The following is a 23,586-nucleotide window of genomic DNA, read 5'->3' as shown; positions in this document are numbered from 1 at the left end:
TTAGCGGTTATTAAGTTGCTACATCCCTCTACTAGATTCTTCTTATTTCTTTGTTAACAGAAGAAGATATGTAGAGAATACAAGCAAAGGAAACAGAATTTTCTGAGTGCATACCTACACTTTGGTGTACTTTTGCTCCCATTTTTCTCCAGCTCCTGAGACTTCTTAAGATATCATGTAATAGTAATACCTGTCAATGACATTACCTTCACACCTTGGTCAGAAATACCCTCTTATACTGTTTCTGATCAGGACCTATTCCCTCATTAACCTAGCCAAGACTAAGTCAAGTCTCTGGTACAATCACATATTTCCAAGTACCCTTCAGCTGAGTTTAAATCTTCAAGAACCACATACTATGTCCTGAATCTGTAAGAACTTCACATTCTATCCAGAATTACAAACACTATATAAACTCTCTGGTCCTAAGAATCACTTAGGGTACTTATGAAAATTAATGTATTTAGATTCCTTCCCAGACCTGTTAAATCAGAATTTATTTGGCAGAAGCATGAGTTGTCAGATTGTAGTAGAAAATCTTAAGTAGCTTGAAAACCTTTAAAATACATAAAACTGTGACCTTTGGAGTTGGTTGGTAAATCAGAATCCAGAATGCCAATGCCAATGCCAAGGATTCGAAAATTTAAGGGACTGCATCCAGGAGTTTCTAGTTTTACTGAACACCCCAGAAGGAACATAGTGGAAGAAACATTGCTTACCGGTTGTTATGTTTCTATCACTTTGATCAAGAAGAATATATATATATATATACACATATATATATGTATATATATGTATGTATATATATGTATGTATATATATATGTGTATATATGTATATATATGTATGTATATATGTATATATATACGTATATATGTATATATGTGTATATATATACGTATGTATATGTGTATATATATATGTGTATATATATGTGTATATATATGTAAGACACAACACACAAAAAGATTATCTCTAGTAAGGGTAAAGAGCAGAACTATATTCATAAATCCTCCTTCTCTCAAGAGCTTTCTATATGAGATTTGACATTAATGCAAGTCTTTAACTTTTGTTAAGTATATGTTAAGTTCTGTACCTTTTGTGGTAATTTTTTATTCTATATGTCTCATAGTGTTATTAATAAAAGTCAACTCTTCCAGTTTAACCCACTCAAAGTAACTTACCTTACCCTTTTTTCTCTGTAATTTATAAAGAGCTATATTATATTTTAAAAATCATCATTTTGCAAGGGCATTAATAATTAAATATTTGGGAAAGAATATATCAGAGAATATCTAAACTTGGTCCTGAATTCATAAACCAGGGTATACCATGTTAGCACACTTGATCTTTTTGTGCTTTTTATCTGTTTACTACTGCAAAAGGCCTTATCTTCAATTCAGATTTTAAGCTCACATGGCTTGCAGGAGTTCTAAACAAATTTCTGCTAAAAATTAGTATCTTCAGTATTTTTGCAAACATCAACTGATACAAATAACTTTTCAAGGTATTGGTATAGCTTTCTTTTCAAAATAGACACATTTTTGAAGTTGCAAGAAAAGCCAGTAACATCCTAATATTTTAGATAAATGGCTCCCTTATATTCCTGGCAAGGGGTTGAGGAGCAGAGACTGGAGTCAGTAATCCATGATAGGCCAACCCATGCCTAACATCATATGTCTGTAGTGTGATCAAGAAAATGTAGGCAAGCCATTTCAAAGACCATCATTAATAAAAATGTGTTCTCATTATTTATGACCACTATGAATATCTTGAGTGCTTATTGTATGCCACACACTGGGCAAAGAGCTTTACAGGTATTGCTCATTCACTCATGGACTTATTAACCTATTTATTGTGGAACAACCGTGAACCAACTACTCTGCCCACATTGACCTTAAATTCTCCTGGAAGGCAAATAAATGAACAAATACATAATATCTTAAGTATTGTAGACCTTATTCTATTTCTAATAAGGAAATCAAACATGGAGGAGTCTAAGGTGCCAGTTAGATAAAGAGGCCAGGCAAGACCACCCTTGATGGGGTAAACAGCTACCTGAATGAAGCAAAAGAAAAAGTCATACAAAGAATTCCTAGGCAAAAGCCTCCTTAAATAGGAATGAAGGCAAGTGCAAGATCTCAGAGGTCGGAATGAGCTGGCTCACTTAGAGAGTGTCAAGAAGACCACTGTGACCAGAACAAGGTGAAGGAATGAGAAAGGTAAGAGATGAGACAGGGACCAAATCATATAAGATACCCTAATCTATGGTAAGAAGTTCAGATTTCAGAATATTTAATCCAGAGAGCAATCATATGATATTATTGTCTACATTTAACACATGAAAAATTGAGGCTTAGAGTCAATAAACTTACCCAAGTTCATACATCTAGTAACTAACATAGGAGAATTCAAACCCTTTCATTTGGTCTGAATCCAAATCCCGTGTTCCTTTTACTATATCAAGTTGTTTTTCATTGACTAGTCTGATATTTTAATCAATGTCCTAGATTCAGTGGTCCCAAATCAAATGCTCTCAATAGTTAAAAGAAAACAGATGAATGCATATTTGAAATTTGAAACTGGACTTCTGTACACAAAGCAAAGAGGGAAACTACGTATATACCATATTATATAATATTGAATACATCCAACATTGTGGTTTAGAATGGGAATTTTTAATACTTTTGGATGATTCAACATTTGAAACTCAGAATTAATGAAGGCAGCAAATTATTAAAAACATACCAGTTGATTAGCATTAGATACAACAAACGAAATGCAATAAGCTCAAAATGAACTTCCTAACTAAAACTTAAATCATTCTAGTAGTAATCTATTAAAAAAATTTCTTGAGCAAATACTATACGGTTAATATAAAGTGGAATAGTGTTATTACCTTATGTAATTAATGCATCTGCTACTTAAATAATCAAGGCATTTATATTTTATATAGAGTTTGATATACTTTGGTCTATAGATGAAATTATAATGAAGCACTAGTCTGAGGAATTAGTCTGTTACAACTTGAACGATAAGCTGGCAGTCTAAATAGTCATAATTACAAGTAAAAGTTATCCACTAAAAAGGCCATTAGAGAACATTTAGGATAAGATGAAAAAATGTTCTACTTTGAAGACAAAATGTAAAATGTAGATATTTTGGAATTTTATTCAGAGCTAAAATTGCCTACAGATTTTCAATAATGAACTATATCATTTGAAAACACTCCTTTTTAAATGTGTATTAAAATTTTTCTCTTATGAAATAAGACGTTAATAGCCTTATGTGTCATTTTTATGGGTATCTCTTTGGTGTAGTTATCAGGGCATTTACAATTAATGTTTAAAATGGAAACCATGATTTCAAAAAATACATTCTGAGGAAAAAATATATTTAAATTGAGTTATAACTGTGGCTGTCCCTAGGTGGTTTTTATTAAAGTGAAACAATAATTAAAAGATGTTAAATAGATATTGCTTATTTTTTGCCCAGAAATGAATTATTAGAGCTTTGTTCAAGTGCTGTCATCTCCTATTATAATTCGTATTTAATGAACAATAAGTATTCCTTTGAAAATAATATGTCCTGAAACAGTTCTTCTGCCATTGGATCTTTAGTCTCTGGTTAGAATAAGACATTACCATAATCCCTCCCCATCTTAGGTATAGTTTTAGTGAAGAGGTAGTTAAAGCCACGTCACACATAATTTGAATGAAATGAATGGATAAATTCATAATTGTTCCACGACTATAACAATAACTGTTTAAAATGAGTTCTTGAACAGTAGGATTGTTCTTACTCTGATCCTATTTTTTCCCCAAAGAAAAAAGTGAAATATTTTTAATGGGACAGGAATTTACAAAGACCAAGTATTTCTGCTATTCATAGGATAAAAATATTCCCTTTGACTCAGTTACTTATACATAAAATCAGAGACATGATATACACCTCAGTTGTCAACATTTTAGGGCAGGGCTCTTCTCACTCATCTTCGTGTCTTCAGTGCTAATCAAGAACCTTACGTATAATAAGAGAATGAATGAGTGAAGAAGTGAAAGAAGGATTGAAATAATTTCACAATTATCTTGAGATTAGAGCTCAGATACTTACATTGGAAGGTATTTGTTCTAGCCTTAATGGTATTAAGTATATAACAACACCATTTCATTTCTTCAGCTGTAATATCAGCCTTGTAGATCAGTCGTTAATTTTTTAGAATGTCCCAACTAACCTTTCCCTCAAACTATGTAGATTTTTGGTAATGATGGCAAAATAAGAATAAAGTTACCCCAAGTTATATGCAAGCTGTGAATGGTTACTAACCATAAGTGATAAGTGATATCTGAAGCCTTTAAAAACATCTGTTCTCATCGAGATTGTGTAATGTTTTCCTAGCTATTTCTATATTGAGGTTTCTTCTGTATAAACTGCCTCTAACACAGTATCTAGTATATGATATGCATTGTCTTTTATTCTTTTGGGTTGCTTTTTTTTCTTCTTCTTATAGTAATTCTTGCCTTTAAACTATAAACTCCTGAAAGGCATGAATTTTCCAAAGTTTTTGTAACCTCTGCAACTCCTAACATTATAAATATTAATTACACTGAATCAAAGATGACTTTTCTTCGCATATTTTGTTTTGCCTTGAGTGTAGGTACTGCGTAGATTGTATTTGGAGGTACTAAAAGGAATGGTCATAAAATTCCCTAAAAGACTCTAAACTGTTAAACGGGTGTTCTTACTGTTTATTCTTGAGTGTCTCGTTTGGAACACTAACCATTAAATTCCAAATTAGTATAGATGTGCATAGTACCAACATTAGTAATTGCAGATTCTTGGAGGTTTTATGGACAGTAGCTTATACAACAGATATTTCTTGCACTATTATAGTATCCTTTGGTAGATAAGTTTTAGGGTCTTTACTAATTACAAATTTGAACAATCATTGTATAACATGATACTATATTTAAAATTAGAAAGATTTCCTTATCTGCTTTTGTTTTTTTGGTAGCTGTAAATCATTTTTGGTTTTGAAAATAGAAAACTTTATTTAAGGGGGACATATAGTTTCTTCCTGTCACATATATGCACAGCTCACTAAATAAAAAGCAATGACACATTTACTGGCAACATAAACAGCCCACCCCATCTATAGCTGAAAATAAATGGTATATCAATTATTTAAAATTCATTAACTTGGAATTGTGTGTCTTACTCAAGTAAATAATTTTCCCTTTGTAATTTTTGGCAGGAAGAAGCACTGCATGGGTTTCGAGTGAGTGATTATTTTGAATACATGGAAATTTTGGAACAAAACTACCGAACAGTGCTGCTGAGAGACATGCGGAACATTAGACTGCAGAGCACATAGATCATGAGACACACGGTTTAAATTTAGGTTTTATTTATTTTTAAACACAGCAGGGGGGCTTGATGTTTTTCTGTGTCTGTAACAACATTTACTTTGTGAATATACATATTGTAAATACTGAGAAGTATAACGATATATTTAAGTAGGTATGAGCTCAATTTGTGAATTCATTTTTGTAAATTTGTTGTTTTGTAAGGTTATTATAGAATCAGATCTAGCTTACTTTTAGTTCTTATTCATGTTTAAGAGTTAGTCCTGGCCAGGCGCGGTGGCTCATGCCTGTAATCCCAGCACTTTGGGAGTCTGAGGTGGGCGGATCACGAGGTCAAGAGATCGAGACCATCCTGGCCAAAATGGTGAAACCTCGTCTCTGCTAACAATACTGAAATTAGCTGGGTGCAGTGATGCGCCTGTAGTCCCTGCTACTTGGGAGGCTGAGGCAGGAGAATCGCTTGAACCCGGGAGGCGGAGGTTGCAGTGAGCCAAGATTGTGCCACTGTACTCCAGCCAGGCCACAGAGTGAGACTCTGTCTCAAAAAAAAAAAAAAAAAAAAAGTCCCAACTTACATCTCCTTTATTCAGATGATTTAAATATTGTTTCCAGTGAATTTGGAAAGGAGAAGTAATAGTGTAAATAATATTTTGACTAGCTGCAGAAAGCCCATAAGACAAGGAAAAGACAGTATTTCTTCCATTCTTTATGTCTGTACATGTAAAGGAAAATGGATAAAACTACAGCTGCTTCTTTTACATGTGGAAGAACAATGATACTATTTACCATGGCAAGTGGTAGGAAAACTGTTGTCCTTGGACATAATTGTTTTTTAGGAGTTGCTTTTGATACCCATATCAATTTATAATTCTTTGTTTGAAATGAAGTCTTTACATGGTTCATTGAAGAGATAGATTGGTTATTTCATACTGATAAGCATTCTACTCTTATTTGTTATGCATTTTCCTTAGTGATATATTTTACTTGTACTGAACTTGAAAATATAAAGGAGAATACATTTCTAAATTATTTTAAATGGCTAACACTATGATTTGTCTTATTTAAATAGATGTCTCTGCACCGGTAAGATTAATACAATATGTGAATGTCTATTTTTTATATCTTAACTCACAATGAGTATATGAAAGATAATACACGAATATATTACATTATTCATTTTTAGTCATGAGTTTATTTCAATAAGTTTTTCTAATTGTAGATACTGTTTTTTATTCTTTCCTTGTATCTAAATATAAATCAACCATTAAAATCATTCTAACTCTAACCCTGCTTTTTTTTTCGTTTTCAACTAAAAGTGGATCATTGACAAACTAAGTTTTTCATGTAGCATGATCAAATAACTGGTACTATACAGTTTTCAATTTAGTAATATTTAGGCTATTGCAATATCAGCCTTCCAAAATCAAGTTTTATGCTGTAAATGCCAACAATAGCTTCTCAGTAATAGTGTTCCTAAAGGGCATTGTAAAGTTGAGAAAAGTAATTTTAGCAAGTTAATTTGACATATTGCGCACTTTCACTTCAGCCGCTGTGAGTTAAAAGAGAGTCATAGATGACTCAAAATACTAAGCTTTGTCTACTTTCAAACTTAATTTTGAAAAGCTGTTCCATGGAAGCTGTAATACATGTTTATGGTTCCATTTCTTCGCATTATTTTCCTGAGTTATTGTTATAGGTCCTAAGAATCGTGCAGCTTTATTTCTTTTTATAATTGTGTACACGGTAGTTGGAAATACAAATGGAGAAGAATGAACTGTAATTTAATTTTATGATGTCCATTGGTGATTTTCATTGGAAACTGAGGTAAGATCTAGATTCTAACAATTACATTTTTGAAAAAAAATAACTTCAGCTACAGCTAGAAGGCTTTCATCTTCATTTGACATATAAGTGTCTTATGAACAATGACCTAGCAATTTGTTTGGTGAAAGAAAATGTAAAATATAGTAGGTAGTGTAGCTATCATTATGAGTTATTTCTATACTTACTTTTAGAGTACCCTTTAGAACAATCACACCCTGTCATGCCCCTTGGTTTTATTTTTAATTATTTAAAATGTAAGTCCTTAGACTTTATTTCTAATTTGTGGAGGGGTAACTCATACATTTTATAGGATTCAATTACAATAAAATATGTTATGATATAATGTAAAAAGGTTTATGAAAAAATTCATATATAAAAATATTGGAATATCTGCTTTCAAAATTTCATATTTTTAGTTCTATCTCCTCATAATACTCTCCTAAAGTATCACTGGAGGTAAAATAAGCCTCAGAAATTTATCTGAACTTTCACACAAGGTTCTACATGAATTTGTGATTAGTAAATAATGATGTGCTCTCATTGGAATTTCCAATTTTCAGATGTTAAATTTTGTTGTTTGTTCATTAAGCAGATACATTTTAAGGGTTACACATATAATGAATTTTTTTAAATATTCAAGATAGCACAATAAATGATATACAGCATCTCAAAGAGTTCACAGTCAGCATGGGGAGGTGAATAATTTTAAAACCATGGAAAAATAGTGATAAAGATGACCAATGTGAATTGACCTCCGGATGTGATGACCTTGACCTTGATAAGAGTAGTTTTGATTAAGTAAGTGAGGGCAAAAGTTTTGATTGGATTCGGTTTAAATGACGGTGAGAAGAAAGATTTTAGAAACTGCTCTTTCTAGGAATATTGCTGTAATGGGTGGAATAGGAATGGCAGCTAATGCAGACGGGGACCAAAAGATGCTTTTTGTTTGTTTTTGTGAGTGTGTTTTGTTTTTGAAATGTGAAATGGAAACATGTTTATATTTGGATGGAAATGATGCAGTAGAGAAGGAAAATTGATGGTAGAGAGGAAGAGCTGGAGTAAATGTCATGAATAGATGTAAGGGGAATAGGATTTAGTGAGTAAGTAGTGGAATTAGCCTTTGCTAGGAGCATGGACACTGCATTTAAAGTAACAGAAGGGGAAACAGAATAAATGGGCACAGACATAGAGTAGGCATTTGTGGGTTTTTTTTCTCAGTGATGTAGGAAACAAGGTCATCTACTAAAAATTAGAATAGTAAAAGCTTTGGTAGTTTTTAGGAGATAAGAGTATGTGAAATAATTGTCAAAGAGTGAATGGAATAGGAAAATAAGTGTTATTGTGATTTACTGGTCATGAGATGAGTTAGCAAAGTTTTATGTTTTTCTCCAGCTACCTTACACTGTGCATGGGTTGGCAAGGAGTAAGTGGTGAGTTGGGTTTAACCAGAGTTTTGCTTAAGCCAAGAGAATACAGTAAGCAAGGAAGGGCACAAGGGAGTTGATGTTATATGCAAGTTAATTTTTATAATATTGTGACCGTGGTGTTTAAGCTGGATCAAAAGGAAGGTGGAGACAAGAGGGTGGATATGTATGGTACAGTGAAAAGTTGATAGGATCAATTGATTGTAGGTTCTTATGTATTGAAAGATTATTTGATTTGAAATCCTCCAGAGAGGAAGGTGAAATGATTAGACCTAACAATTGTTAAGTAAAATGCTTAAAATTGAGATTTTAGAAGGGGTTGACCATGAGAATGAACAACTAGAGGAAAGAAGAGAGATGAGATTATGTGAATAAAGGAAGTCAAGGAGCTGAGGTTTTGGTTTTGGAAGAATTGTCTTTTTGGATACTGGAGTTACCAAAATTGTGACAAGGAATTATTTTGAATAGCTTGAAAATGAGCCAAAAGCTAAAATCTTCAAGGATTGGTCTAGAAAGAAAAAAATGACAAGAGGACATCTGAGATGCAAAAATAAATGGAAACCAAAGGCAATGGTACATAATCATTATTTTAATATAGTATCTAATTTGTTAATAAAACATACCTAATTTCTTTGAGGCCTTTGATTAGTCTGGCATTTCTTACACATAAAGTATAAGCCACAAAAGAAAAATTGTTACATTTTATGTACTTCTTTAAAATAAAAAAGCACTCAAAATATACTCTCAAATAAATGAAAAAAGCTGTAAGATAATAGATTTGCAGAACATAGCTAGTAAAGAACCTTATATTCAGAATATATGAAATTTCTAACCACTCAACAGTAAGAGAATGAACAAACAACAAAATAGAAAATTTCTGAACAGACACTTCACCAAAGAAAATATACACAATTGACAAGCACACAAAAAGAAACTTATCACCATTAGTTTTAGAGAAATGCAAATTAAATCCACAAGGAGATAACCACTACACACTCACTAAAATGTCTAACACTAAAATACATAAAACAAAACAAAAACCTAATTTCAATGGCTGGCAAGAGGTGGAGCAATTGGAACACATGGTCTCTTATAGGAACAGGAAGTACAATAGCCATTTTGGAAGCTGAGTTTTTCGTTTTTGTTTTTTTGTTGTTGTTATTTTTTGAGTTAAATGCTTAACTCAGTATATGACTCAGCGAGGACTCAGTAATAACCCCTCTAGGTATTTACCCAGAAGAAAATACATTTCCATATGCAGATTTAAATGTGATTAATTACAGCTTTATTCATAATAGCCCTAACTGGAAACCAACCTAAGTTTCTTTCAACTGATCAATAGATAAACAAATTGTGGTTCAGCCATAAAATGGACAACAATTTAGCAATAAATATAGCCAGCTAGCTACCGATGCACACAAAATCGTGGATAAATCTGAAAAGCATTATGGTGAGTGAAATAAGCTGGACACAAAAGAGTACATGCTATATGATGTCATGTATATGAAATTCTAGAAAAGGCAGAAAGAATATTTGTGGTTTCCAGGGGCCAGCAGGTGAGGAAAGAAGATTGACTTCATAGAAGAAAGGACTTGTATATCATAATTGTAGTGATAGCTACATGACTGGATACATTTTTAAAAACATTTTGACATGTATGCTTAAAATGGGTGAATTTTATTATATGTAAATTCCACATCAATAAAGCTTTATCAAAAAAGGATAAATACTACAAATAAAAACTGACAGTTTATCCTAATGAGTTTAACATAGCAATATGTTAGCTGTAGGTTTCCCAGGGATGCCATAACCAGGTAGAGGAAGATCCCTTCTATTCCTACCTTGGTGTGAGTTTGTTTTTTTTTTTTAAATCAAGAATACATTTTTTATTTGGAAGTGATTTATCAAATACTTTATATAAAAATGATCCTTTTTTTCTTTTTTTCTGTCTATATATTGACATGCTGATTTTTGAATGCTCAACCATTCTTGCTTTCCTAAGATTAACTCTACCTGGTCATGATTTTATCATTTTTACGTATTGTCAGATTTGATTTGGTAAAATTTTGCTAAGTATTTTTATATCTATGTTTATGAAGGATTTTTTTAAAAGTTTAAAAAATCTTTTAAACAACTGTACAAGTGCAGGTTTGTTACATAGGCAAACTTGTGTCATCGGAGCTTGTACAGATTATTTCATCATCCAGGTATTAAGCCTGGTACCCATTAGTTATTTTTGCTAATCCCCTCCCTCCTCCTACACTCCCACCGTCCAAAAGGCCCCAGTGTGTGTTATTCCTCTCTGTGTCCATGTGTTCTCATCATGAAATATATTTATCCGTAGTTTTCTTTTTTTGGTTTTGGTAGCAGGGTAATGCTGGCTTTATAAAATCAGTTTTGAAGTGCTCTTTCATCTATTTTGTGGAAGAGTTTGTGTATAAAATGGTATGTTTTTCTAAATGTGTGATGGAATTCCCCAGTGAAACCTTTGTGATAAGCAAAACTAAAAATTCAATTTATATCATAGCTATCTATCTATTCAAATGATTTCTTCTTAAGAGAGTTTTGGTAGTTTCATTTAAGGGATTTCTCCATTTCTTCTAAATTGTCAAATTATTGACATCAAGTTATTCATGATGGTTCCTTATCCTTTTTAATATCTATAATTTGTGTTGATGTCACTGCTCACATTCTTGATATTTGTAACTTGTATGTTCTTTTTTTCTTGATCAGTTTAGCTAGAAGTTTATGAATTTTATTAAATTTTTTTTTTTTTTTTGAGATGGAGTCTTGCTCTGTCACCCAGGCTAGAGGGCAGTGGCGCGATCTTGGCTCATTGCAAGCTTGGCGTCCCAGATTCATGCCATTCTCCTGCCTCAGCCTCCCGAGTAGCTGGGACTACAGGTTCCCGCCACCACGCCCGGCTAATTTTTCTTGTATTTTTAGTACAGATGGGGTTTCACCGTGTTAGCCAGGATGATCTCGATCTCCTGACCTCGTGATCCACCTCCCAGAGTGCTGGGATTACATATTAATGTTTTCAAAGAACCAACTTTTAGTTGCATCCATTTTATCTTGTATTTTGATCTCTGTTTTATTGATTTTCATTCTGATCTTTATTATTTCCTTTATTCTACTTTCAGTTTCATTTACTCTTTTTCTAGTTTCTTAAGGTTATTCATTTGAGAACCTTCTTTTTTCCTAGTACAGGTGTTTAGTACTAAAATTTCTCTGTAACTACTGCTTTAGTTACATCTACAAATTTTAATGTTATTTTTTCATTTAGTTAGAAACACTTTCTAATTTACCTTTGTTATTTTCTCTGAACCATGGGTTATTTAGAAATCTGTGATTTAGTTTCCAAATAATTTGGAATTTTCCAGGTAAGCTTCTGTTATTTATTTCTAGTATGATATCATTGTGGTTGGAACATTTTTTTATATTATTTTAATCCTTTTAGATTTGTTTAAACTTGTTTTATGTTTTATGTTTCAGAATATTATCTATCTTGGTAAAGTTTCATGTGCACTTAACCTGATTGTATAGTATATTTTTCATTAGGTGTTTCATAAATCTCAATTAGATTAAATTGGTTTATATTATTGTTTAAGTTGTATCTTTCCTGATATTTCTGGCTACTTGTTTTATCAATTATCATGAGAGTAATATTGAAATTAAATTTGTGGATTTTTCTGTTTCTCCTTTCAGTTCTATCAGCTTTTGCTTCTTGTATTTGAAGCTCAATAATTAGGCATATAACCTTTTATGATTGTGACAGCTTCTTGATAAATTGACTGTTTTATCCTTAGAAAATGATTGCCTTTGTTCCTAGTGATATTCTTTGCTCTGAAGTCTACTTCATTTGATATTAGTATAACCACTCCAAGTTTTTGGTTTTGTTGCTGGGGTTTTTTATTGTTGTTTGTTTTTGTCTTTTTTGTTGTTGTTACTAGGATTTGCATAGTCTTTTTTCATTGATTTACAAAATATTCTTTTAATCTCTACGTATCTTTATATTTAAAGTGGCTTTATTGTAGGCAGTATAGAATTGGGTCTAACTATCCCATCCTTTTCCAATCTGGCATATCATGCCTTTTAATTGGAGTGTTTAGACCATTTACATTTCACATAATTATTGATGTGTTGGAATTTACATTTACATTTTTCTTTCCATTTGTATTATATTTTTCCTATTTTTGTTCTTTTTAGTTATCACAGTCAAATAATGTCACTCCACTTCAAGTTTAGTAAAGGAACTGTACAACTATGAAATTCCAGATCGTTGCTGGTACTCTAATCCATAGGATTCTCTTCTTCCTCTTAAGTTATATAAGGTTTCTTAACCCTCAACTGGTAAATATAATATAGTCATATATAGTATTCTTATTTTTAATTCCTTTTTAGCTATTATTGTGATTTAATCCCAGCATTATTATTCAACATATGTATCATTAGTAAACATTTTTTCTTTGGGAATGTTATATATCAAAATTAAGTATAAGCAGCTTAAGGAAAGAGACAAAATCATTTAATTCATATTCCCCAGAAATTCTGTTCTAGTGCTAGACATAAAGCAGAATATCAGACTGTTTACTGAATGAAATGTCTAAGTTGTTTTGAATTATCATATAGATACAGCTATAACAGAGATTGAAACATTAGACAAGATTTTCCCCTCAGCTCCCTTAAGGAGGAGATTATCTATGTTCTTGGTACAAATATGTTTTCTGCAGATTATATTTTTATTAAAGATAATAAAAGTTTACTACATTTTATTTAGCAAATGTAACTAAAATATGTATGTGTAAGATTTTCTTTCTGTGGAAATGTATGTGTATGAGTGTGTGTATATTATTGCACATGAGTAGTATTTTTACCATAACATGCATCTGATAGAGTTGAGTGAACTATCCTGATAGCCTAATCATGATTTGGTTACCAGACTATAGCTTTTTGAAATACAGCAATGAGTGCAAATGTGCACCTGTCTTGAACTTATAAAAACTGACAGGGATTAATTTGGTGTTTGAATCTATATAGTCTTTCTTCCTAGAAACCAAGAGTCAGTCAGACATCATATGTCCCAAATAATGTAGTTGTGAAGGCAGAAAACATGAAAGTCTGATGTGTCAAGATCTCTTCTATCACAATGATGTTGAATATTCCTAAATTTGTTCTTGCTAAAGCTAGCCGAATCATTCCATTATTACATATGATAGTTTGCACATGGGTTGACAAACTACAGCCTGCTAGTCAAATCCAGCCCACTGCCTGTTTTTGTAAATAAAGGTTTTATTTGGAACCTAATGTCAATTTGCTTTCCATGGCTGCTTTCATACTACAGTGGCAGAGTTTTGAGAGAGACCGCTTGATTTGTAAAGCCTAAAATACTTATTATCTGGCCATTTACAGGAAGTTTGCCAACATCTACTTTAGAATCCTAATTACATATATAAATCCAAATCCACTTTAGGAAGAATCAACTTTTTAGAGGTACAAGGGAAGAGGTGACCCAAGGTCATGCAGAGGGGAAATATGCAGTAGGTAGATAGAGAGCCTGGGGGACAAGGCTATCTGGATTTGTATCCCATCTCTGCCATCAGCAAGTTATTTCCTCTGTGCCTCGATTTACTTGTTGGTAAAATGAGCATAAGAGTATACCTGCCTCATAGGCTTATGACGAATGCCTGTGTTTATGACAACTTCTTTAAGTACTCTATCAATTATAGCTATTATAATTATATAGTATTATAGCTATTATAAATTATATCTATTTTTGATTTTATGAGGAACCTTCAAACTGTTCTATATTGTGGTTGTACTAATTTAATTTCCCGCCATCACAAGAGTACAAGGGTTCCCTTTTCTCCACATCCTCACCAGCCTTTTTATTGCCTGTCTTTTGGATAAAAGCCATTTTAACTGGGGTGAGATGATATCTCTTTGTAGTTTTGATTTGCATTTCTTTGATGATCAATGATGGAGCCCCTTTTCATATACCTGTTGGCCATTTGTATGCCTTCTTTTGAGAAATGTCTATTCAGATATTTTGCCCATTTTTAAATTGGATTGTCACACTTTGTCCTATTGAGTTGTTTGAGCTCCTTTCGTATTCTGCTTATTAATCCCTTGTCAGATGGTTAGTTTGCGAATGTTTTCTCCCATTATGTAGATTGTCTCTTCACTTTGTTATTTATTTCCTTTGTTGTGCAGAAGCTTTTTAATTTGATGTGATCTGATTTGTCCATTTTTCCATTGGTTGCCTGTGCAGCCCACTCCAGTGTCCAATGTTTTATTTTAGTAGTTTCATAGTTAGAGGTCTTTAAGTCTTTAATCTATTTGACTTGGTTTTTGTATATGGTGAGAGATAGGGGTCTAGTTTCATCCTTCTGCACGTGGATATCTGGTTTTCTCAGCACCATTTATGGAAGAGACTGTCTTTTCCCCAATTTATGTTCTTGGCACCTTTGTTGAAAATGAGTTCACTGTAGGTGTGTGGATTTGTTTATGGGTTCTCTATCTGTTCCATTGGTATATGTGTCTTTTTTTTTTTTTTTTGCCAGTACCATGCTGTTTTGGTACTATAGCTCTGTAGTAAAATTTGACGTCAGGTAATTTGATTCCTCCAGTTTCGTTCTTATTGTTCAGGATAGCTTTGGCTATTCTTGGTCTTTTGTGGGTCCATATAAATTTTACAATTGTTTTCTCTATTTCTGTGAAGAATGTCATTGGTATTTTGATAGACATTGCATTTAATCTGTAGATTGCCTTGGGTAATATGGACACTTTAACAATTGTGATTCTTCAAATCCATGCACATGGAATATCTTACCAATTTTTGTGTCTTCTTCAGTTTCTTTCATCAATGTTTTATAGTTTTCATTCCAGAGATTTTTTACTTCTTTGGTTAAGTGTACTCTTAGGTATTTTATTTTATTTTTAACTATTGTAAATGAGATTACTGTCTTGATTTCATTTTCGGATGGTTCTCTGTTGTCATATAGAAATGCTACTGATTTTTGTATGCTGCAACTTTAATTAATTTGTTTATAAGTTCTGATAGTTTTTTGATGAAGTATTTAGGTTTTCACCAGAAGGTGAAGGAGGAGCAAATGCACATCTTACATGGCAGCAAGCAAGAGAGCATGTGTAGGAGAACTCCCATTTATAAAACCATCAGATCTCATGAGACTTATTCACTACTATGATAACAGCATGGGAAAAACCCACCCCCATGATTCAATTACCTCCCACCGGGTGCCTCCCACAATATGTGGGATTATGGGAGCTATAGTTCAGAATGAGATGTGGTGGGGACACAGCCAAACCATTCTACCCCAGCCCCTCCCAAATCTCATGTACTCACATTTCAAAACACAATAATGCCTTCCAAACACAATCATGCCTTCCAAACAGTCTCCCAAAGTCTTAACTCATTCCCAGAGTCTTATTAACCCAAAAGTCCAAGTCCCAAGTCTTATCCAAGACAAGGCAAGTCCCTTCCACCTATGAGCCTGTAAAATTAAAAGCAAATTAATTACTTCCCAGATACAATGGAGATACAGGTATTAGGTAAATACACCCTTTCCAAATGGGAGAAATTGGCCAAAATGAAAGGGCTACAGGCCCCATGTTAAGTCCAAAATCCAGTGGGGCAGTCAAATTTTTTTTTTTTTTTTTTTTGAGATGGAGTCTCACTCTGTCACCCAGGCTGGAGTGCAGTGGTGTGATCACAGCTCATTGCAAGCTCCACCTCCCAGGTTCATGCCATTCTTTTGCCTCAGCCTCCAGAGTAGCTGGGTCTGCAGGTGCCCGCCACCACACCCGGCTAATTTTTTGTATTTGTAGTAGAGACAGGGTTTTACCATGTTAGCCAGGATGGTCTCGATCTCCTGACCTCGTGATCCGCCCGCCTCGGCCTCCCAAAGTGCTGGGATTACAGGCGTGAGCCACCGTGCATGACCAGGGCAGTCAAATCTTAAAGTTCCAAAATGATCTTTGATTCCATGTCTCATATCCAGGCCACCTTGATGTAAGAGGTGGGTTTCATGGCCTTGGACAGCTCCACCCCTCTGGCTTTGCAGGGTACAGCCCCGCTCCTAGCTGCTTTAACAGGCTGGCATTGAATGTCTGTCTGTGGCTTTTCCAGGTACACGGTGCAAGCTGTCAGTGGATCCTACTATTCTGGGGTCTGGAGGGCAGTGGTCCTCTTTGCACAGCTCCACTAGGCAGTGTCCCAGTGGAGACCCTGTGTGGGTGCTCCCACCCCACATTTCCCTCTGCACTGCCCTAGCAGAAGTTGTCCATGAGGGCTTTGCCTCTGCAGCACACCTCTGCCTGGACATCCAGGTGTTTTCATACAGCCTCTGGAATCTAGTCAGAGATTCTCAAACCTCAATTTTTGACTTCTGTACACCCACAGGCTCAACACCACATGGAAGCTGCCAAGGCTTGGGGCTTGCACCCTCTGAAGCCATGGCCTGAAATGTATCTTGACCCCTTTTAGCCATGGTTGGAACAGCTGAGATGCTGGTTACCAAATCCCAAGGCTGCGCACAGCAGGGGGGATCTGAACCCAGCCCTGGAAACCATTTTTCCCTCCTAGGCCTCCAGGCCTGTGATGGGAGGGGCTGCTGTGAAGGTCTCTGGCATGCCCTGGAGACATTTTCCTCATTTTCTTGGTGAATAACATTCTGCTCATTGTTACTTAAGCAAATTTCTGCAGCTGGCTTGAATTTCTCCCCAGAAAATGGGTTTTCCTTTTCTACTGCATCATCAGCCTGCAAATTTTTCAACCTTTTATACTCTGCTTCCTCTTGAATGCTTTGCCACTTAGAAATTTCTTCTGCCAGGTACCCTAGATCATCTCTCTCACATTCAAAGTTCCACAGATCTCTAGAGCAGGAGCAAAATGCTGCCAGTCTCTTTGCTAAAGCACAATAAGAATCACCTTTGCTCCAGTTCCCAAGTTCCTCACCTCCATCTGAAACCACCTCAGCCTAGACTTTTTGGCAAAAACCATTCCACAAGTTTCTAGGAAGCTCCAAACTTTCCCACATCTTCTTGTCTTCTTCTGAGCCCTCCAAGTCTCTAGGAAGTTCCAAACTTTCCTACATTTTCCTGTCTTCTTCTGAGCCCTCCATGTGATTCCAACCTCTGCTGGTTCCCCAATTCCAAAGTCACTTTCACATTTTTGGGTATCTTTTCAGCAGTGCCCCACTCCCAGTCCCAATTTACTGTATTAGTCTATTTTCATACTGCTATGATGAAATACCAGAGACTGCATAAATTATAAAGAAAATGAGGTTTAATGGGCTCACAGTTCCACATGGCTGGGGAGGCATCACAATAATGACAGAAGGTGAAGGAGAAGCAAAGGCATGACAGCAAGCAAGAGAGCATGTGCAGAAGAACTCCTCTTTATAAAGCCATCAGATCTCATGAGACCTATTCACTATTATGAGAACAGCATGGGAAAAACCCACCCCCATGCTTCAATTACCTCCCAAAAGGTCCCTCCCACCATAACTGGGGCTTGTGGGAGCTACAATTTATGATGAGATTTGGGTGGGGACACAGCCAAATCATATCAAGCATCAGTTGAAATGAAAGGCTATTTTTTTTCTCTAGATTTATTGATGTTGACCAAGTCAATGTATAATGGATTAGCAATGTATTTTTGAGTGGTTTTCTATTCTCCAGTGATAAGTAAAACAAATGTTTGATTTTATATGACATAAAATTTTACTAACATGTTCTTTGTGGAAAAATTGGCTTATGTACTTTTTTGCATAATATAAAGGGAAAAAGTTATTACTTAAGTAGGTGACAATGTATTTACTTATCTGGTGAGTTTAAACAGGGTCAAGGGAATTAGCCTTACAGAAACCCTGAATTTTCAATGTGAGCAATATTTTAGCCTTTAAAATCAGTTAACTTCTTTGGCATGTTTCCCACCCTATATTCTACTATTGGCAATAGTCACCATGAAGTGCTAAGTGCCATGGAAATACTTGGACTGTCATGTTTGCTAATAGAGTGCATTTGAGATACATTGGGGGACACAGTCATTAAAATGCTGGCTGTTTAAGTTTAATCATCTAGTGCAAGATTTAAGCATTGATGTACTATCAGAATATGTGTTAACTGTTCTTTATTTAATAATACATTTATATTTAGCCCTGTCCTAAAATTCCAAAGTTCATCTTTTTTTATAAAAGCATCTTTAAGTCCTTTTTCTTACAACATCTAACATAATCATCTACAGTTTTAATGGAAATACTCAGATAATGAAAACACTTTTTTGGTCAAATTGTCTTCATCACTGTCTAAATTTTTATTTTAATTTTCCTCAGAGTATTTTTTTTTTTTTTGGTGGGATCTCACTGTCACCGAGGTGCTTACTAACATGATTTTGTTTTTGATGGTATCTCACTCTGTTGCCCAGGCTGGAGTATAGTGGCATGATCACAGCTCACTGCAGCCTTGACTACCCAGGCTCCAGCAATCCTCCTGCCTTAACCTCCTGAGTAGTTGGGATCACAGGCACCTGCCGTAACACCTGACTAATTATTTTTCTATTATTTGTAGAGATGGGATCTTGCTCTGTTGCTCAGGCTGGTCTCGAACTCTTGGGCTCAAAGAATCCTTCCACCTCAGCCTCCCAAAGTGCTGGGATTACAGGCATGAGCCTGTGCACTCAGACATGAAATAATTTTGCGTTGAAAAAATTCTTGATTAAAATAAGTGACGAGTATGGTAAAGACTGACTAATCTTCAACAATCAGTTTCCTTTTTCTAGGCAAAGAATATTGCAGGGTGTCTAATCAGCTTAACCACTGTAAAGTGAGTAGCCCAAAGAATAAAGACCAGGTTGGCTTCTCTATGAGCTCTCTTCTCTGTTTCCTTGGTGCCTTTGGAAACTTAAATCCCTGAATTCGTGAAGAGGAAAGCCTCTACTATGACCTGAAGAAGAAATATAAATCTTACATTAAATGTTTGAAATCATATTATTTCATCTAAGCATTAACACCCTGTCACCATCTTTGAGTTTCCCCATGTTTTCCCGCTTTTCTGAATAGTTTTTGATATGCCTAGCTAGCAGTCATGTTCTTAATTCAGTCTTATTAGATTTCATATGAGAGTTCAAGTGTGCATGAATGAGGCAAAGCTGTCTAGCACAAATTAAATTTAAAAGTTTCATTGATATTTGTGCCCATTAGCAAACAGTTTTGGACATGGTAGATACTATTTGACTAGCAGTTATATATAGTATCAAGGAAGCTTTGTTTCTGTAGGTGAAGGCTGAGACATTTAAAGATTGCCATTAGGGTATCAGTCTCATCAATTAACTCAAATTTGATGACAGTTATGTATTTTGAATATTCTATATGATAAGCTTTAGCCTAGAATTTCTTTCTACATCATTTTTTTTTCATTTTGACACTTAGGTTCTCATTTGTACACTGAAAAATTTTCCAAGCCTTTTGCATACAATGAAAATTAACTTACTTCTTACTGGAAAATTAATGGGAATTTTAGAAAGCACTTTAGTGTGCAAATAGAAGAAACATATTTCAGTTGGGCTAAGGATTGCCAGGAAAACTACACGTACCCACACATGTAAGATGAGGTCAGATTAAGTTCCTGATTCATTTAGTCACAGATATAGAAATGTTTAGGTTTGAGGATCAGATGCAGCATGTTTAGTGTAGAGAGTTGTATTAGCCCATTTTCACGCTGTTGATAAAGACACACCTGAGACTGGGCAATTTACAAAAGAAAGAGGTTTAATTTAACTTACAGTTCCATGTGGCTGAGGAAGCCTCACAAACATGGTGGAAGGCAAGGAGGAGCAAACCCCATCTTACATGTATGGCAGCAAAGAGAGAATGAGGAAGATGCAAAAGCAGAAACCCCAGATAAAACCATCAGATCTCGTGAGACTTATTCACTGCCACGAGAATAGTATGGGAGAAACTGCCCCCATTATTCAATTATCTCCCACTGGGTCCCTCCCACAGAATGTGGGAATTATGGGAGTACAATTCAAGATGAGATTTGGGTGGGGACACAGAGCCAAACCGTATCATTCTGCCCCTGGCCCCTTTCAAATCTCATGTCCTCATATTTCAAAATTAATCATGCCTTCCCAACAGTCCCCCAAAGTCTTATTTCAGCATTAACTCAAAAAGGCCACAGTCCAAAGTCTCATTTAAGACAAGGCAAGTTCTTTCCCCCTGTGAGTCTGTAAAATCAAAAACAAGCTAGTTATTTTCTAGATACAATGGGGTTACAGACATTGGGTAAATACAACCATTCCAAATGGGAGACATTAGCCAAAACAGAGGGGATACAGGGCCCATGGATGTCCGAAATCCAGCGGGGCACTCAAATCTCAAAGGTCCAAAATGATCTTCTTTGACTCCATGTCTCACATCTGGGTCACACTGATGCAAGAGGTGGGTTCCCATGGTCTTGGGCAGCTCCACGCCTGTGGTTCTGCAGGGTACAGTCTCTCTCCTGGCTGCTTTCACAGGCTGGCATTGAGTGCCTGCAGTTTTTCCAGGCACACAGTGCAAGCCCTCAGTGGATCTACTATTCTGGGGTCTGGAGGATGGTGATCCTCTTCTCACAGTTCCACTAGGCAGTGCCCCAACAGGGACTCTGTGTGGGGGCTCTGACTCCAAATCTCCCTTCTGAACTGCCCTAGCAGAGGTTCTCCATGAGGGCCCTGCCCCTGAAGCACACCTCTGCCTCAGCATCCAGGTATTTCCATACATCTTCTGAAATCTAGGCAGATGTTCCCAAACCTCAATCCTTGATTTCTGTGCACCCACAGGCTCAACACCACATGGGAGCTTCCAAGGCTGTGGCTTGCACCATTTGAAACCATGGTCTGAGTTCTACGTTGGCCCCTTTCAGCCATGGGTAGAGCAGCTGGGACACAGGGCACCAATTCCCTAGGCTGCACACAGCTGAGGGACCCTAGGCCCTGCCGAGAAAACCACTTTTTCCTCCTAGGCCTCTGCACCTGTCATGGGAGGGGCTGCCATGAAGACTTCTGACATGCCCTGGAGACATGTTCCCCATTGTCTTGGGAATTAACATTTGGCTCCTCATTACTTATGGAAATTTCCGCAGCAGGCTTGAATCTCTCCTCACAAAATGGGATTTTCCTTTCCATCTCGTCAGGCTGCAATTTTTAAAAACTTTTATGCTCTGTTTCCCCTTTAAAATGGAAATGCTTTTAACAGCACCCAAGTCACCTCTTGAATGTTTTGCTGCTTAGAAATTTCTTCCACCAGATACCCTAAATCATCTCTCTCAATGCAAAGTTCCACAAATCTCTAGGGCAGGGGCAAAATGCCACCAGTCTGTTTGCTAAAACGTAACAAGAGTCATATAACTTACAGTTCCACGTGGCTGAGGAAGCCTCACAATCATGGTGGAAGGCAAGGAGGAGCAAGCCCCATCTTACATGTATGGCAGCAAAGAAAGAATGAGGAAGATGCAAAAGCAGAAACCCCAGATAAAACCATCAGATCTCATGAGACTTACTCACTACCATGAGAACAGTATGGGAGAAACTGCCCCCATGATTCAGTTATCTCCCACTGGGTTCCCAACAAGTTGCTTCAGTTCCCAACAAGTTCCTCATCTCCATCTGAGACCACTTCAGCCTGGAACTTATTGTCCCTATGACTATCAATATTTTGGGCAAAGCCATTGAACAAGTTTCTAGGAAGTTCCAACCTTTCCCACAGTTTTTTGTTTTTTTTTTAATTTTCTTCTGAGTTCTCCAAACTGTTCCAACCTCTGCCTGTTACCCAGTTTGGAAATCACTTCCACATTTTCAGGTATCTTTTCAGCAACGCCCCACTCTACTGGTACTAATTTACCATATCAGTCTATTTTCATGCTGCTGATAAAGACATACCCAAGACTAGGCAATTTACAAAAGAAGTTTAATTGGATTTACAGTTCCACATGGCTGGGGAAGCCTCACAATCACAGCAGAAGGCAAGGAGGAGCAAGTCACATCTTACATGGATGGCAGCAGGCAAAGAGAGAATGAGGAAGATGCAAAAGCAGAAATCCTGGATAAAACCATCAGATCTTGTGAGAATTATTCACTACCACAAGAACAGTATTGGAGAAACTGCCCCCATCCCTACTCTGGGGAAGAAAACTTGATTAGGATTCAACCATACTGGAGCCATATCTCAGCCATGAGCTCAGCAGGATTTCATAAAGCCCAATTCTCTTCAGATTGCTAAATGCAAAAAACAGGGAAGAAATAGAAGTGACAGGTACTGAATAGACAGTATGTGCCTAATACATCAACACTGAAAAGACAGTATGCTCTGTACCTTTGTATAGTGATTTATTGTTTTCAAAATATCTGCATGTACATTTTGTCTTTCCAACAACTCTACCACCCAGATATGTTGTATTCAGATTTAAGAAAATATTTCTCATGAACTGAAATTTAATCTTTACATTTGGACAAAATTGTGATCATACTATGCAGATAAATTTTTAAATTCATTTTGATATTAGAAGCAGTGATTATTTAAACTCAAAAATGATTGAACTCGAAAATATGTTCCACGTGAAAATTACATACATACCCTTCATATTATAGGATCCCTTGATAATAAGCTCTAATTTCAATCTATCAAGAGTATCTGAGTCTACTCTGTTAGGACATCAAATATAAGATGATCTCTACTTGCAAGGAGTTTATAGTATGCTTCAGAGTGATAAAACATGTGCAGCACAAAAGGTAAGGGTACAATTTCATACTTTGTATATCCTGAGCTGTATATCAAGGGCATTTGGTGATAGGAATATTCGAGGTAGGAGACATTACTTTGAGCTGAGTAATCAAGTGAGAAACAGAATTTTAATTGGCTCATGTGGAATGGATAGGAATAAAGCGAAACAGTGAGGAGCACACAGGATGGAGG

The 23,586-nt window shown here is 35.6% G+C and overlaps 1 protein-coding gene across 13 annotated transcripts in view; it reads left to right on the top strand.

Moving 5' to 3' along the window:
* The window catches only part of TBC1D32 (TBC1 domain family member 32), a 255,236-nt gene extending 248,585 nt beyond the window's left edge, over positions 1 to 6,651 (top strand). For all 13 annotated transcript variants that reach the window (NR_104452.2, XM_047418311.1, NM_001367759.1 and 10 more), the window contains one exon: positions 5,255 to 6,651. Coding sequence is in view for 12 of the 13 variants with exons in the window: in XM_047418311.1 (XP_047274267.1) it covers positions 5,255 to 5,374 (120 nt within the window). In the remaining variant the exon portion in view is untranslated. The remainder of the gene's footprint in view (positions 1 to 5,254) is intronic.

Source organism: Homo sapiens, chromosome 6, assembly GCF_000001405.40.
Source record: "Homo sapiens chromosome 6, GRCh38.p14 Primary Assembly".
Taxonomy (NCBI): Eukaryota; Metazoa; Chordata; class Mammalia; order Primates; family Hominidae; genus Homo; species Homo sapiens.
The sequence above is the reverse complement of the archived record's forward strand: the minus strand, read 5'-3'. Positions and strand labels throughout refer to the sequence as shown.